This window comes from Homo sapiens, chromosome 8 (genome assembly GCF_000001405.40).
Source record: "Homo sapiens chromosome 8, GRCh38.p14 Primary Assembly".
In the NCBI taxonomy this organism is placed as follows: domain Eukaryota; kingdom Metazoa; phylum Chordata; class Mammalia; order Primates; family Hominidae; genus Homo; species Homo sapiens.
This window is the reverse complement of record NC_000008.11, coordinates 63,162,228-63,177,866: the sequence shown is the minus strand read 5'-3', so window position 1 is coordinate 63,177,866 and position 15,639 is coordinate 63,162,228. Positions and strand designations below refer to the sequence as shown.

Sequence of the window (15,639 nt, the reverse complement as noted above, 5' to 3'; positions counted from 1 at the left end):
AAAATTTCTTGAACCTGGGCGACAGAGGTTGCAGTGAGCCAAGATTATGCCACTGCACTCCAGCCTAGGCAACAGAGCGAGACTCCGTTTCAAAAAAAAAAAAAAAATAAGAGTTTGAACAAGTCAGGATTTTTTATACTATATCTTCATCTTAAGAACTTCATTTTCAATTATAATTTATAAACTATGAAATCAAGTAGCAAAAAAAACAGTTCAACTGTTTAGCCTCCAAAATTTCTCAAATCTATCTAAACATGGACATCTTTTTGAAGGAATATTTATTACACCTCCTAATATTAAGATTTCTCAGCAAAGTTGGAAAATACTGCCATACTGCCATAAGCGTTAACTGAGATTACTATGTGAGCCAGAATATAGTAAAATCACGCTTATTTTAAAACTTGCACTACATTTCACAACAAATGATCTACTTTCATAATCTTTACGTGGAAAAGTAATTTTGCTGAGATCGTAAAGTTTTTTTCTTTCCCATTTATTTCTTCTCCTCCCATGTATGCTAGGAATGTTGCTCAGTAGATAGGAAGGGGTGGTTAAGGGGAAGTAACCAAGAGGTAGATGAGGTTGAACACAACCACCACTCTCCATAATCCTAAAAATAATCCTGCATCCCACAAATTGGGAACTACTTTTTGTTCAAATTTTCCCTATAACTCTACTGTACAAACTGTTCAGTTCTGTAGTAAGATTTGGTTCCTTGTTCTTTCAGAGTTTCAAAAATCTAGGTTAAAATTTTAGAGTACGTTTTTCATTTTCTCCATATATGCAAGCAGACAAGTCAAACTTCATTCAGTTTTCCAATTTACTCTTCAAATTTACACACACAAACTAACTGGCATCTTTAACGTGCCAATTAAAATCTGAATTTTAGGCTGGGCACGGTGGCTCATGCTTGTAATCCCAGCACTTTGGGAGGCTGAGGCAGGCAGATTACTTGAGGTCAGGAGTTCAAGACCAGCCTGGCCAACATGGTGAAACTCTACCTCTACTAAAAAATACAAAAAGTAGCCAGGCGTGGTGGCATGTGCCTGTAATCCCAGCTATTCAGGAGGTTGAGGCAGAAGAATCACTTGAGCCTGGGAGGCAGAGGTTGGAGTGAGCCAAGATTGCGCCACTGCACTCCAGCCTGGGCAACAAAACAAGACTGTCTCAAAAATTAAAGAAAAAAAAAAAACTGAGTTTCTAATCAAATTAATCATAAAATTATTCCAAAGAACTGAGTTTCTAATCAAATTAATCATAAAATTATTCCAAAGAACTACAGAGGTGGGCTGGGCCCAGTGGCTCACACCTGTAATCCCAGCACTTTGGGAGGCCGAGGCGGGCGGATCATGAGGTCAGGAGATCGAGACCATCCTGGCTAACATGGTGAAACCCTGTCTCTACTAAAAATACAAAAAAATTACCCGGGCATGGTGGCGGGCGCCTGTAGTCCCAGCTACTCCGGGCTGAGGCAGGAGAATGGCGTGAACCCGGGAGGCAGAGCTTGCAGTGAGCTGAGATCGCACCACTGCACTCCAGCCTGGGCGACAGAGCGAGACTCCGTCTCAAAAATAAATAAATAAATAAGAACTACAGAACTAATTTTAAGACCCAAAGTTCTTGAGCATTTTTTGCTTTTTTAAAGCAAAACAAACAGTTTCATTCCACAATGTTCTCTCTAAAAAAACTGGTGAATACTGAAAATGTATTTTTTCATTTATTTCTATCAGTGGCTTATTTTTAGTAACAGACAGAAATGGATGCAGAAATGGCATACAGATACCTAATAGCATTGTTCTTCAATGTTTAAATTGGAATTACGCTTGTACACAAATACTCAAAGCCACCAGTTACCAATTACTTGATTTGATAAAACTGTCCATGTCTACAATACAGAAGTAACTGTGTTTATAAAGCAAGTATGTTTATAAACTCCTTAATTCTATCACCGACATTACCAAGGTATGTTAAAATTTTCAATAGTTATCAATGAATTCAATCTGCAATGTCTTAAAAAAAGAAAACACTACATTTGACCCAAAATTGCAGGCAATTTCAGGTAACTAATCCCTCCTCCAAATACCCAAATTTCTAGCTAATTAAGCCTTTTATAATTAGCTTAAGCTATGAAGATATAGCAGTGACATTAAAAGATTAAGTTCCTTCAATACACACACACAAAAAACCTAACCATAATATATACAAATAATGGTCACCTTCAAATCTTTATTCTATATTTCATAACCTAGTTTCTGGTGCCTATACTTTCTGAAGAAGAACTCTCCTGTGCCATAAATCTGCAACTGCTACTCACTACTCACTTACTATATAGGTACACTAGATGAATGAATCCATGTTATGGTTAATCTCATTAAATAATCTATTTGAAAAATCAACTAATACTAATAAAAGGTTAATTTCCTAAAATCTGAAACTGTCAGAAGACTTACCTGATTTGTCTGGCTACTTAAGTATGGCTCAAAATCATCATCATTTACAGCATCTTTTTGATGAATCGAACCGTTTTGTACTGAAACTAAAAAAATGTTTGTATTAGAAGTGTTGTAGTTATCTTTATGAAACTCGCAGCACAACCTAATGTTTTTAATATTTTTCAAGCCAAAAAAAGTAATCAGAAAAAATAATACTGAGTTATTTTTAAGAACCCTCTTAAGGATAAACTATTTTAGATACAAATATTCATGTGCCACAAAAACTTAAAAGTCTTTTGATACATAAGCCCAAGATTACATAAACACAAGCCATATATACACTTCCCCTTACCAAAAACTTTAAGTAAATATCCCAATCTCAACACTGTAGTGAGTAAATTGTTACATAAGAATGTTGGAAAGAGTTCCCTAATGCTATATTTGAATGTAAAATAACTATTTCAAGTAGCGTTGTAGGCAATAAAAAAGATTTCTGAATGTTCTCTACCTTTGTTTAAATCTCTAAATTATTTAGTATAATAAAGAATGAAATAACTATTTTCGATCTAATTTGTTATAGTAAATGTCTTAAATGTCTCCAGTAAAGTTTAGGCTAAAATTAACTTGAAACAATATCACAATGAATAGACTTATAATTATGAAATATCTAAATAAAGAGGGCTTTAATTCTAAGCCCCCCAGAATGAAGACTTTCACATGAAACTACAAACAAAATTAAGACACAAAAGATAGCCATAATTATCCTTGCAATACATGAGAAACAAGTCAGAGAATAATTTTGTTCAAAGGTCATCTCCATAAACACTCTAAAGTTGTTATTCTCTGGATGCTGTTTCAGAGTGCTTTTGAGCAGACTCAGAAGTAAGGTCCCGAATTTGAATCTCAAGTCCAGCACTGAGGAGATGATCTCCAGTTAGGGATTTAAACTCTCTAACCTTTGACTGTTCGCTGTTTCAGAAGGTTATGTATGAATAGTACCTACCTCATCTCATCTGATTATTAAATGACAGTGTTCAATAATCTTAAATGTAATCACATTAAATATTACAAGATCCAAATAGGACTAATATGACTTTAGAACCATTTAAACAGAAGTGTTACTAAGCTAATACTTGATGAGGTGGCACTATGTAAATATACTATTCTATACTAGTGAAGATAAAGTTGAAAGTTTCCGATGGATGTCTACAAATTAGAAACAAAAAGAACTCAGTATCTAAAGATTTACTGCTCAAAGGTACAACATCACCAAATTTTATGAAGTTAGGAGGGTGACGGGTTTAAATTGCGTATTCCTCTGTAATATAACATTTTTATTATCCTTAAATTTTCCCATGAGTGTAGAGCACCTAAAATGTAATATTATGAGTTAACAGTGGCTTGGGAGCAAAGATATACAAAATCCCTTAAATCTTTGCCATCCAATGAGTGGCAAAGATCAAAGATATGATGTTACTGTGTAAAGCATTCAAAGTAGACTTCTTACTACACCACACTGCCCCTCAGAGGCCACAAGAAGCAACCTGAAGGTCAACTTGATCCTGGCTCCACTAACATAATTTAACTATGTCTGATAAGGACTGCATCAGAACTAGGATTGAGCTAAATATGCTCCATGGAATTTAAATATGTAATAGCCACTAGAAACCAAAATAAAGAGGGTGCCTTAGGTTACTTCTAGTGCCATTATAAGGCTGGGTTATTCATTTCAGTCCAAGAGATTCTGACATACCTGTTCTCCTCTGACACTGGCTTTACTGCTCCTAAATCAAAGGTAAGTATGCATGGTCTATTACTTCTTGAAAAAAAATTCTTCACTATTACACTCATACATGTTAGTCAGTATTTGAAACAGCTAACAACTTAAAAATTATGACTAACTATCTCTCATATCCACTAGGTTCTCGAAAATCTAGTTCATACAAATACAAAAAGTGCCAGGCCAGGAGCTCAAGACCAGCCTGGGCAACACAGCAAGATCCCACCTTTACGAAAAATGTTTAGAAATTAGCCAGGAGTGGTGGCATGTGCCTATAGTCCTAGTTACTCAGGAGTCTAAGGAGGATCACTTGAGCCAAGGCATTCCAGGTTACACTGAGCTATGATTATGCCACTGCACTCCAGCCTGGGGTACAGAGTGAGACTCTGCCTCTATTTAAAAAAAAAAAAAGGAAAAAGTACTTACTTAAAATTTATCTGTATATATATATAAATATAATCCTGTTATTCTTATTTTTTTTGTTCTATTATTTCTCTTCTAAGAGGCTAGGCCTGAGAACAACCCATATACTATTATAAATACAGTCTACGGTCATTTTTAAATGATGCATAAATGTCTATAAAGTCTTAAAATATAGTACAAAAAGTCAATCTACTTTAAAAAATGTTTAATTAAAAGTACTTCACATATACCGAGAAGCAATTTGCATTAAACTAGCCCTTAAGTTTTGGAAGTGTATCTTAAAGAAAACTATCTTAAAGACTTTCGTTTTTGAATATTTACTTAATGACAAGCTAATGTCTTGGAGTCTGAAAACCATTAAATAGAAATGAAATCCAAGCTAGTTCCATAGTCTGTAAAATTTCTTCAGGGGTAAAAAGAACAGATGACTTACATGATTCTTCGCCTGTTTCCTCTGCTCTATGAAACAGAGTCAAATCAAGATAGAACATGGGCCTTAGGAGCCAGGTGATTCTTTGCTCTGGTCCTGACTACATCAAGTTAGGAAAGTCAACAGATCTGTGCATCATGTTTCCCCACCTACAAAAACAGCGACAATACCATATACCCGCTATCTCCTTACAAGGATGTTGTGAGGATTGATAAAATGAAGCCTAAAATAATGATAGTAAAGTGCTTTGAAATCATTTCTCGGGAGGACGAGGAGAGAATACAACAGAATATTGCCAAAATATAAGGCATTTTCCACTACTTTTCGAAAATTAAAACTTAGCCAAATTTAACCTAATTATTTTAAATTACAGTTGTATAAAACAATGCATACGTCTCTCCGTTGGAAGAGAGCGGAGAGGAGGAAAAAGATAAATCCTGTTCCATGAATTTGCTATTTATAAACTTAGAGGAGAAAGGAGGCAGTAAGGCCTAAGACTGTAAGTATGGCATCTGACACTTCCAACCATAGTACTCCCAAATAAAAGTACTGCACACCTTTATTCCAATAAGCAAAAATTCTACTTAATAAAAAAATAAAATACGAAGTGTTAAATTATGAACCAATAGGCAAATAATTATCCTTAAATTTCTACTATCCTTTGGTACTACTCTTGCCAAGGATAATAAAGAGTTCTGATATTTAACACAGGGACAGACTTAATTAAAAAAGAATTCAAACTTATAAAACAAGTAAACCTTGAATTATTACTTATTCTACAAAAAACATTTTTGCCATATCAAAGACAATTATTTAGAATTCCTTTTGGCTTCTGTAATGAATTAAGTAATTAAGGATATATAGAAAATCAAAGACACTAAAACTAGGTGTTAGGCTAAAGCTGTCAACTAAAGACAATTCAGAAAAGAAACAGGATCTCTGAAATTATAGTAAGTTGACTGAAAAGGATTACGTGTTCAAAACTTTAACTGACACCAACTTCTCAAGGACATACTATTTTTCATAAGCTTGCTAAGTTCAGAATTCAAGATTACTCATATTTAGAATACTGAGGTTGCAGTTCAAGAAAAATAACTTCATGAAAGTAAACAGAATTGTAAAACAATTTTACGAGCTGGGAACAAGCTAAGGCAGAAAAGCTTTTCTCAAATACACACATAGCTACTTATATCAGGTTCACTGGTAGTGTTGCCTTTGCCTTGTAATTCTCCCTGCAGTCATAAAAATACAAGTAACGTATATTTGTTATTTGTGCACTTGTAGCATCTGCCATTTTTAAGAAACTTAAATAATTAGCAATACTTTCAGGCCAGTAGCATTTTTCCCCTCCTGCCAAGGCTCCATGCAAAGGAGTCTTCCTGCACCTTAAAAATAGATTAAGTGAGGAAAGTGAAAAGAAATCCAGCAAATATAATTGCTACTAGAGCAGTGAACTACTGTAATTACAAGAATCCTAACAACATACTATAGGAATTATGGGAATTATGACTAGAGTTATTTTTATTTTATAGAGGGGAGATTCTGACAGACAGGTAAAATGTTTTCAAGCTCACTTGGCAAGTCAGTAGCCAAAGGCAGTATTAGAACTCAGGACTCCAAGGAATCCCAATCCATTATTCTAACCTTAGATGAAATTATTAAACTGAACAACAAGGGGGAAAGAAAGAAAATTTCTTGAGAATAAAGAACTATCAAAATAAACACTTTGTGTATGTGTCTGAATACAACTAACAGAAGCGATACTGATGGATAAAAATTTTTGAAATAACCAAAAAATACTTATTTGCAAACAGTGGATGTATTATGCAGTTTATAGATAACTCAACTCATATCTAATATCAAAGATGCCACCAGTGCCTACCTAAGTGAAATGACCACTCATAAATCAAACTTATTTTACTGACTTACAGTGCTGTAGAGGCTCTATTTTGTTTTAACAAACAAGTACCTCATAGAACTTGTGTACTTACCTTAAAGCGGGTAACATAAAACACTTAGCATTTCAAATAGCTTTGCAAAGTGCCACCTCCCCACAGATCTAGGATAAAATAATTTATGCTAGGCAATAATGACCACAATTTCACAATCTCCAAGTCTACATAGTTCCTAATGGGTAGACTAGCAAAAGAAGAAATTAATGGATCATTCTTTTTAAAATTCACAAATTTTTAAAAACTCATTTAAAATAAATCAATATCCAATTTTTATTTCAGGTTTATGCTTACAACAAAAAAAATTCTAGAAATGAAATTTTAAAAATTAAAATGTCTAAATATTTACATACTGCAAGAAAACATCTTTAATGAAAACAAACAAAATGTTACCTAATATGGTGCCATGTAACTGGTATGTACAAATTCCATAATTCAGAGGAAACTAATCTACATATCCAAAACCTATTAAATTCACCAAATTTGCAATAGCAAATAAATACCCTAACAAGAATTTAAAGGGCACCAAAGACAATCTATATCTAAAAGGCTATTATAGATCTTAATTTCTAACACTGTGTTACTGAAATCAACAGAAAGCATAATTTTAGTGTAATTTCAAGCACTACAAAATGTTATATATAATTTGCTCTGATGTTATTTAATTGGCACTATCCCAAGAAAGCAGTTATTGTTCTATACTTAACTAAATGTCACATGACTAATGTCATAATGTTTCAGTCAGCTGACTGCACTGTTCCATATTAATACAAAACACACTTTTTAAAAAAACACTTTACTTTCAATGGTACTTTTACTAAAGAGAAAATTATAAAATCCTGGAAAAAATGTCACAAACTATTTTCTTCTCAGCCCTTTATAAAATACCAGATAGAGTCACACCTTGCAATCAGAACAATAGAGCAAGATGGCATGCCTACTCAGTTCTAACCTCTCTCATGTTGTTGCCTCATTACAACTGACTTCAATAGAATCAGTGATTAACAGTACAATTTTCATTAATGTGATGGAATACTATGTAGACTTCCATTTTCCAGTGTAATCCAGACATGTCAAACAAAATGTCCACTTTAAGAATATACTTGTCTATATACACATGTAGAAATTTTTTGTGGCATAAGTTACATAACACAGAAAAACTGGAAAACCAAAGAAATACCACCAGGTTCACACCAATACCTGCTTAACTGACAAGGAAACTGTTTCTCGTACTACTTTGGTTTCTATAAAGTGGCTTCAAAGCAACGAACTACCGAAGTTCTGGATAGAACTTGGCTACCTTAGCCATGATGAATATTTTCCCTAATCCTACATTTTTTCCCAAGAGGGAGCAAAAACAAACAAAATACCCTCACAGAGTTTAAAAGTAACATTAAGGCAACATTGAGCAATAAGAAAAAAAAAAATCCAAACTCACCTTTATTTCCTTGCCCTTTAGGTCTCTGTGTTGCAAGACGAAAGATGCGGTAAAGAGGAGAAAAAGGAAGAAAAGAAAAAGTGTGTTAATCAAAGGCATTATCAAAGACAAGTTATTTTAGACTATCCGCGTAGGAGTAAAAACCCACCATATCCTCCACAGCCACCAATTTCCCAACCACCCCCAGCCTTTAAACCTCCCACCCGCCACTCGGAATCCGTCTCCCAGAGCTCGCCCGGTCTCCGCCCCATGTCTGCCGCCCTCAGGATCTGTCCTAAGGCCCCTAAGACCGGTCCTTGCCCCCACCCGCCGCGGCACCGCGCCCGCCCGCCCGCAAGCTACGGGGCCAGGGCGCACGCCCCGGCCCGGGTAGCTACACCGCAGCAACTTGCGCCCGGGGCACCGTTATGGGGCCGGCAGCGGCGGCGACGGGGAGGAGCCGAAGCCCCGCGCGAGGGTGGAGCTCCGGGGCTCGGGCCTTCGCCAAGCCTGGGGCCTCTGCTCCCTCACCTGATCCACGCTAGTGGCTGACATTCTTCACCGCAACCCGAGAGCCGCCGCCGCCGCCGCTGCCTGGGCCTCTCCCCGTGCACTCACAGCAGTTGGCTGTCGCCCTTGGCCGAGTGATTGTTCCAGCCGCCGCCGCTGCCGCCGTTCGCTGAGAACCCAAAATGAGGGCCTCGCGCTCGGGAGTCGGAGGAAGAGGCCCGTCTTTTCCGCTTGCACGCTCCTCTTCCCCCTCTCGCTCTCTGCTTCTCGGGTCCACAATGGCGGACAGACTCCCTAGTCTCACTTCCGCTCCGAGCCTCCCTGACCTTCCGCTCTCCACTCTGACGTCCGCGCTCACCTCGCTCTTCCTCCCCCACCCTCCCGCCGCTGATCTTGGCTCCGCCTCCTCACCGCCACGTCACCGGAGACCGGACCCGCGCTCACGGCCGGTGGGCGCATGCGTCATGGAGGGAGCGCGTCGGGGCGTCAGCGAGCGCCAACTTTCAGCGTCTTTTCTGCGGCTTCCTTCTATCCCGCTCCGAGGCTGCAGGGCCCTGGCAGAGTGGCGTCAGCTGGAAGGCTGGCCAGAGCCGGATTTTGTTGCACTCCGGGCAGGAAGATGGCCGAGGCGGCGGCTGACGGAGATAGTAGTGCCTTGCTGAAGTCACGGCGGCCGGCGGCGCCCTCCTGGAGGCTGACGGGACGGAGGCAGGGAACTTCCCGGTGAGCCAGCCGGGCCTAGCAGGAGCCTTCGGCGGCTGCCCAAAGCCGTGGGGACGGCTGGCTGACTCAGCCGCTCTCTGGACGGAGTTGCTGGGTCCCCACAAGCCTGCCCGTGCAGCTGAAGTGGCAGGTTAGAGTTGTGGTACTCAAACTTAAGTCCAAGCAAACAGGAGGAGCACCGGCGCGGGTTCAGTCTTTCCAAACCCAGTTCAGCCGTAATCTCTGGAGTCAGACTTCGCCGCCCAATTCATGGATTTGTGCTTTTGACTCCGCTCTGATGTTTTTGAATGAATAAAGTTGCCTAGGATACTTAAGTATAGTTGCAGAGCGTCTTTTCGGCCCTGAAAAGAGGGAAAGTTTCCATTGAAAAAGTTCTTTATCACATATTGGCAAACCCAAAGTATGCCAATTTGCAACGTGTTGACATTTTCATTGAAATATCTACAATAAAGGCAAAGATTCCTTGTCTCAGTGATACAGAGTCCATGGAAGGAAATAATTTAAATGACCAAATACTTTCTGTACTTCAAAAACCATCAAATAAGTGATCATTTAGAAAGTAAAATTGTAGAATCATAAGATTAATTTTGTGGTTTACAGTGCAACAGTATCTTAGAAGCACTGAATAATAGAAAAACTTGAGAGGCCACTTTTCATGTAAATCACCAAGAGGCATTTTTAAGTTCTGGTTAGACAGTTTCCCTTGCCCTTCCATTCATTGCCACGGGTCCCAACCTAAGCACCCTTGCATTTCCCAAGACTCCCCCAACCCTTTCTGCTGTTGCTCTCAATGTCTCCCATCCTTCACTCCCAAACAGACCGTTTTAGTTTTAATGAGTTTGCTGGTACATGCTATGAGCCAGGAACTTGAGAGAGAATATACAAGAGGAGGCTTAAATCTTGCAAGCCTTGTCTTTGATCCTTAGTATCATGGCTTTGGAACCCAATCAATTCGAATTTAAATTCTAGTGGAGCAAGAATTAGTGTTATAATCTTGGTAAAGGCACTGAAACTTTCTAAGCTTTAGCTTCCTCATGAGTAAAATTAGGTCCTTCGTGTACAGTTCCTGACACAAAAGTAAGCTTTCAGCAAATTGTGGCTATATACAGGTAATGAATTGTTCCTTCGCTAAAAGATTCCCGGAAATAGTAATCGCTTACATTTATTGAGAACACATTATATGTCATGTTAATTCCCACAGCATCCTTGCAGAAGTGCCATTATAAAAACTGACACAGTGAGGTTAGGAAACACGCCACAAACAACACAGCTAGTCACTATGAGAGCCAGGATTTGAACTCAAGCAGTGTGACTCCCAAGTTCCCACTCTAATAACTACCATATAATACTGCCTAATGACATAATATTATGAGCTTCTATTCTCTTTCATTTTTGCTCAACAAACTTCTTTCTTTATGGCTTTTCTTCCTAGCAATAATACCTACCCTCAGATATAAACCTACTTAATTTAATATTAACAGACTTTTGAAGTACATCTGGGGACTACCTGAAACCATCTCCAATGCCTCCAGGAGTGTATTAGTCCGTTTTCATGCTGCTGATAAAGACATACCCGAGACTGAGAAGAGAAAGAGGGGTTAAATTGTGTTTAAAGTTCCACATGGCTGGGGAGGCCTCAGAATCACGGCAGGAGGCAAAAGCCACTTCTTACATGGAGGGCAGCAGGAGAAAATGAGGAAGAAGCAAAAGTGGGAAACCCCGATAAACCTATCAGATCTCATGAGACTTAATTCACTATAATGAGATTAGCATGGGAAATACCGGTCCCCATGATTCAATTACCTCCCCCTGGGTCCCTCCCACAACACGTGGGAATTCTGGGAGATAAATTCAAGTTGAGATTTGGGTGAGGACATAGCCAAACTATATCATTCTGCCCTGGCCCCTCCAAATCTCATTTCTTACATTTCAAAACCAATCATGCCTTCCCAACAGTACCCCAAAGTCTTAACTCATTTCAGCATTAACCCAAAAGTCTACAGTCCAAAGTCTCATCTGAGACAAGGCAAGTCCCTTTCGCCTATGAGCCTGTAAAATAAAAAGCAAGCCAGCTACTTCGTAGATACAAAGGGGGTACAGATATTGGGTAAATACAGCCATTCCAAATGGGAGAAATTGGCCAAAACAAAGGGGTTACAGGGCCCATGCAAAGGGCACTCAAATTTTAAAGCTCCAAAATGATCCCCTTTGACTCCAGGTCTCACATCCATGTCATGATGATGCAAGAGATGGGTTCCCATGGTCTTGGGCAAGGAGAATGGAGAGGATATTTTGAAAAATGTTGCCACAGAGCCTAGTTTCTAGGTAAAAATGCACTCTTCTAAAGAGCCACTAGGGTGTGTCAGTCTCCTGGAGCACACAGCACAGTGCAAAGCTTGGAAAGGAGAGGGCAGGCTGGATTTAAGGCCCCATTTTTCCCTCAGCCAACTTTGGTGTTTGTGTGTGCGTGTGTTGTTGTTATTTGTTGTTTTGTTGTTTAATTATAGCAACATGTTCTTGCTATGTTGCCCAGGCTGGTCTCCAACTCCTGGGCTCAAGGGATCCTCCCACCTTGGCCTCCCAAAGTGCTGAAATTACAGACAGTGAAGTTCCAGTCTGCACAACTGTAACTTCTGTATGATTACTTGTATCAGTTCAAATTAGGTTCAGCTACAAGTGGTATCAAGTTCAAAATAACAGGAGCCGAAGATAGAAATCTGTTTTTCTCATACAACAGCAGTCTGGATATACTCCAGGACTTGGGTTGCCATTGTATCAGATAATCCAGGCTTCTTCTAGTCTGTTGTTCCACCATCCTGTTATAAATAAAGTTTTGTTGCCACAAAAGAAGTAGCACTCGAATATAGAATTTACTTTTTAATTCTCAGCAAGGCAAGTTACTTCTACAGAAGGGTGCACCCTTACAGATGGAACAACGGTGAGCACAGACTTAGACAAGGGAAGGGAAGGGGTTCTATCCCTGACGCATGTGGCCCCTTCTGCTGTGTTGTTCCCCTATTGGCTAGGGTTAGACCGCACAGGCTAAACTAATTCTGACTGGCTAACTTAAAGAGACTGACAGGGTGAGTGGTTTGGCGGGAAAAATGGTTATGACAGAGCAGGTAATTGGAATGAGTCAGGGTGGAGTAGGTAATCAGAATGAGTCAGGATGGAGCAGGTAATCGAAAAAGGTTGCTTTATGAGGAAGTTAAGTTTAAAAGTAAAAGGCAAAGAATTGAACATACTGACATATTGATTCTTTGAAAAGAAATTTAGAACTCATATCTAACAATCCTCATTATGATACCTCTACCTGTGGCCCATGATGGCTGCTCAACTTCCAGCCATCCTAATCACATTCCCACCAGCAGAAAAACAAGGTTAAGAAAGCACATTGTTCTCCTTTAAGGACATTTTGTAGAAATTGCATTTTTCCCATTTGTATTAGTCTGTTTTTGCATCGCTACAGAGGAATACCCGAGACTGGGAAATTTATAAAGAAAAGAGGTTTCATTGACTTACTGTTCTGCAGGCTATTCAGGAAGCATGGTCCAGCATCTGCTTGGCTTCTGATGAGGCCTCAGAAAGCTTGCAATCATGGCAGAAGGCAAAGGGGGAGCTAGCTTACACATGACGAGAATGGATGCAAGAGTGAGATGGGGGAGGTGACACACACTTTTAAACAACCAGATCTTCTGTGAACTCAGAGAAAGAACTCAATCATCACCAAGGGGATGGTGCTAAACCATTCATGAAGGATCTGCCCCAGTGATCCAAATGCCTCTCCACCCTCAACATTGGGGATTACTTTTTTTTTTTTTTTTTTTGAGATGGAGTCTTGCTCTGTCGCCCAGGCTGGAGTGCAGTGGCACGATCTCGGCTCACTGTAAGCTCCGCCTCCCAGGTTCACACCATTCTCCTGCCTCAGCCTCCCAAGTAGCTGGGACTACAGGATCCTGCCACCACGCCCAGCTAATTTTTCATATTTTTAGTAGAGACGGGGTTTCACCGTGTTAGCCAGGATGGTCTCGATCTCCTGACCTTGTGATCCGCCCGCCTCGGCCTCCCAAAGTGCTGGGATTACAGGCTTGAGCCACCGCACCCGGCTGGGGATTACATTTAATTGTGAAATTTGGAGGGGACAAACATCCAAACTATATTAACATTTCTGGCTACTTTCTACTAACTAAAACATAGTTTCCTACAAGTATTTAAAGTTAAGTGAAAGCTGGAAAATATATTCTGAGTGGCCATGTGTTCAGTTAAAAATGAGGATGTTTATTACTAAGGAAGAGGGGGAGAATGGGTGGGGGGATACTTAGTAATAAACTCTGTGCCTAGTAATTTCCTGGATTTGCTTTGTTAACTAGCAGCACTTAAACTTATCTTTGAATTTTACCAGTGTTTAAGCCAAAATTTATAAGGCTTTCTGTTATCTTTAAGTAACATATATAGTACATGAACGAAGTGTAGAGAATTCAGCTTGAGGATTGATCGATGCACTTTTAAAAGGAGGTATTCTTAAATATCATGCATAAGGTAAAACCACTAATAGCTAAGAAGGACACTGAATAAAGTAAAAAATCAGTCAATCAATCTGCTTTGAAACAGAAAAGCCAAAACTTTTCCATTTATTCTTAAGTTTACTGCAGAGAAATTTACAATGGTAAGAAAAAGGCAGCAGAAAACATCAAATAACCTTAAGATTTGCTTAAAGCAATTTCTTCAAACTGTTTCCTTGGGACTAGCAGCAACATCTCCTAGGAACTTATTCAAATGCAGATTCTCAGGACTCAGCCCTTATTTACAGAATCAGAAGCTCTAGGGTTGGACCAAAAGTCCATGTATTAAAAAAAAAAAAAAAAAAAAGCCGACAGTGGTGGTGGTGTGTCTGGAATTGGTGGGTTCTTGGTCTCACTGTCTTCAAAAATGAAGCCGCGGACCCTCGCAGCGAGTGTTACAGCTCTTAAGGTGGCGCGTCTGGAGTCTGTCCCTTCTGATGTTCAGATGTGTTCGGAGTTTCTTCCTTCTGGTGGGTTCGTGGTCTCACTGGCTCAGGAGCGAAGCGGCAGACCTTCGCGATGAGTGTTACAGCTCTTAAGGCAGCGCGTCTGGAGTTATTCGTTCCTCCCAGTGGGCTCGTGGTCTCACTGGGCTCAGGAGTGAAGCTGCAGATCTTCGCGGTGAGTGTTACAGCTCATAAAAGCAGTGTGGACCCAAACAGTGAGCAGTAGCAAGATTTATTGCAAAGAGCAAAAGAACAAAGCTTCCACAGCGTGGAAGGGGACTCGAGCGGGTTGCCAATGCTGGCTCGGGCAGCCTGCTTTTATTCTCTTATCTGGCCCCACCCACATCCTGCTGATTGGTAGAACCGAGTGGCCTGTTTTGTCAGGGCGCTGATTGGTGTGTTTACAATCCCTGAGCTAGATACAAAGGTTCTCCACGTCCCCATCAGATTAGTTAGATACAGAGTTTCAACACACAGGTTCTCCAAGGCCCCACCAGAGCAGCTAGATACAGAGTGTCCATTGGTGCACTCACAAAGCTTGAGCTAAACACAGGGTGCTGATTGGTGTATTTACAATCCCTGAGCTAGACATAAAGACTCTCCAAGGCCCCACCAGAGAAGCTAGATACAGTGTTGATTGGTGCACTCACAAACCCTGAGCTAGACACAGGGTGCTGATTGGTGTATTTACAATCCCTGAGCTAGACATAAAGATTCTCCAAGGCCCCACCAGACTCAGGAGCCCAGCTGGCTTCACCTAGTGGATCCCGCACCAGGGCTGCAGGTGGAGCTGCCTGCCAGTCCCGCGTCGTGCGCTTGCATTCCTCAGCCCTTGGGTGGTCGATGGGACTGGGCGCCGTGGAGTAGGGGGTGGTGCTCGTTGGGGAGGCTCGGGCCGCACGGGAGTCCATGGAGTGGGTGGGAGGCTCAGACATGGCGGGCTGCAGGTCCTGAGCCCTGCCCC

The 15,639-nt window shown here is 40.3% G+C and overlaps 1 protein-coding gene and 1 long non-coding RNA gene across 11 annotated transcripts in view, besides 3 other annotated features; one reads left to right on the top strand and one right to left on the bottom strand.

Moving 5' to 3' along the window:
* Positions 1–9,314, bottom strand: part of YTHDF3 (YTH N6-methyladenosine RNA binding protein F3) — a 44,236-nt gene extending 34,922 nt beyond the window's left edge. Inside the window, exons 1-4 of one of the 10 annotated variants that reach the window (NM_001277813.2) lie at positions 8,966–9,246; positions 8,456–8,480; positions 5,069–5,214; positions 2,451–2,536 (exon numbers count right to left, since the gene is read on the bottom strand). In NM_001277813.2, coding sequence (NP_001264742.1) covers positions 2,451–2,536; positions 5,069–5,126 — 144 coding nt within the window. In that variant the 5' untranslated portion in view covers positions 5,127–5,214; positions 8,456–8,480; positions 8,966–9,246. Of the gene's footprint in view, positions 1–2,450; positions 2,537–4,185; positions 4,217–5,068; positions 5,215–8,455; positions 8,481–8,755; positions 8,863–8,965 lie in introns of those variants that run through there. The other 9 variants (NM_001277815.2, XM_011517509.4, NM_001277814.2 and 6 more) reach the window with 9 other exon arrangements.
* Positions 8,644–8,883: a silencer, noted in NCBI's record as "silent region_19241". NCBI's record gives its function as "represses an Ori minimal core promoter by ATAC-STARR-seq in GM12878 lymphoblastoid cells {active_cell/tissue: GM12878}" and the evidence as "EXISTENCE:reporter gene assay evidence [ECO:0000049][PMID:35858748]".
* Positions 8,964–9,283: an enhancer, noted in NCBI's record as "active region_27451". NCBI's record gives its function as "activates an Ori minimal core promoter by ATAC-STARR-seq in GM12878 lymphoblastoid cells {active_cell/tissue: GM12878}" and the evidence as "EXISTENCE:reporter gene assay evidence [ECO:0000049][PMID:35858748]".
* On the top strand, positions 9,425–10,142 carry YTHDF3-DT (YTHDF3 divergent transcript). The gene has a single exon (NR_102684.1). It is a non-coding gene; the product is annotated as a YTHDF3 divergent transcript (long non-coding RNA).
* Positions 9,484–9,703: an enhancer, noted in NCBI's record as "active region_27450". NCBI's record gives its function as "activates an Ori minimal core promoter by ATAC-STARR-seq in GM12878 lymphoblastoid cells {active_cell/tissue: GM12878}" and the evidence as "EXISTENCE:reporter gene assay evidence [ECO:0000049][PMID:35858748]".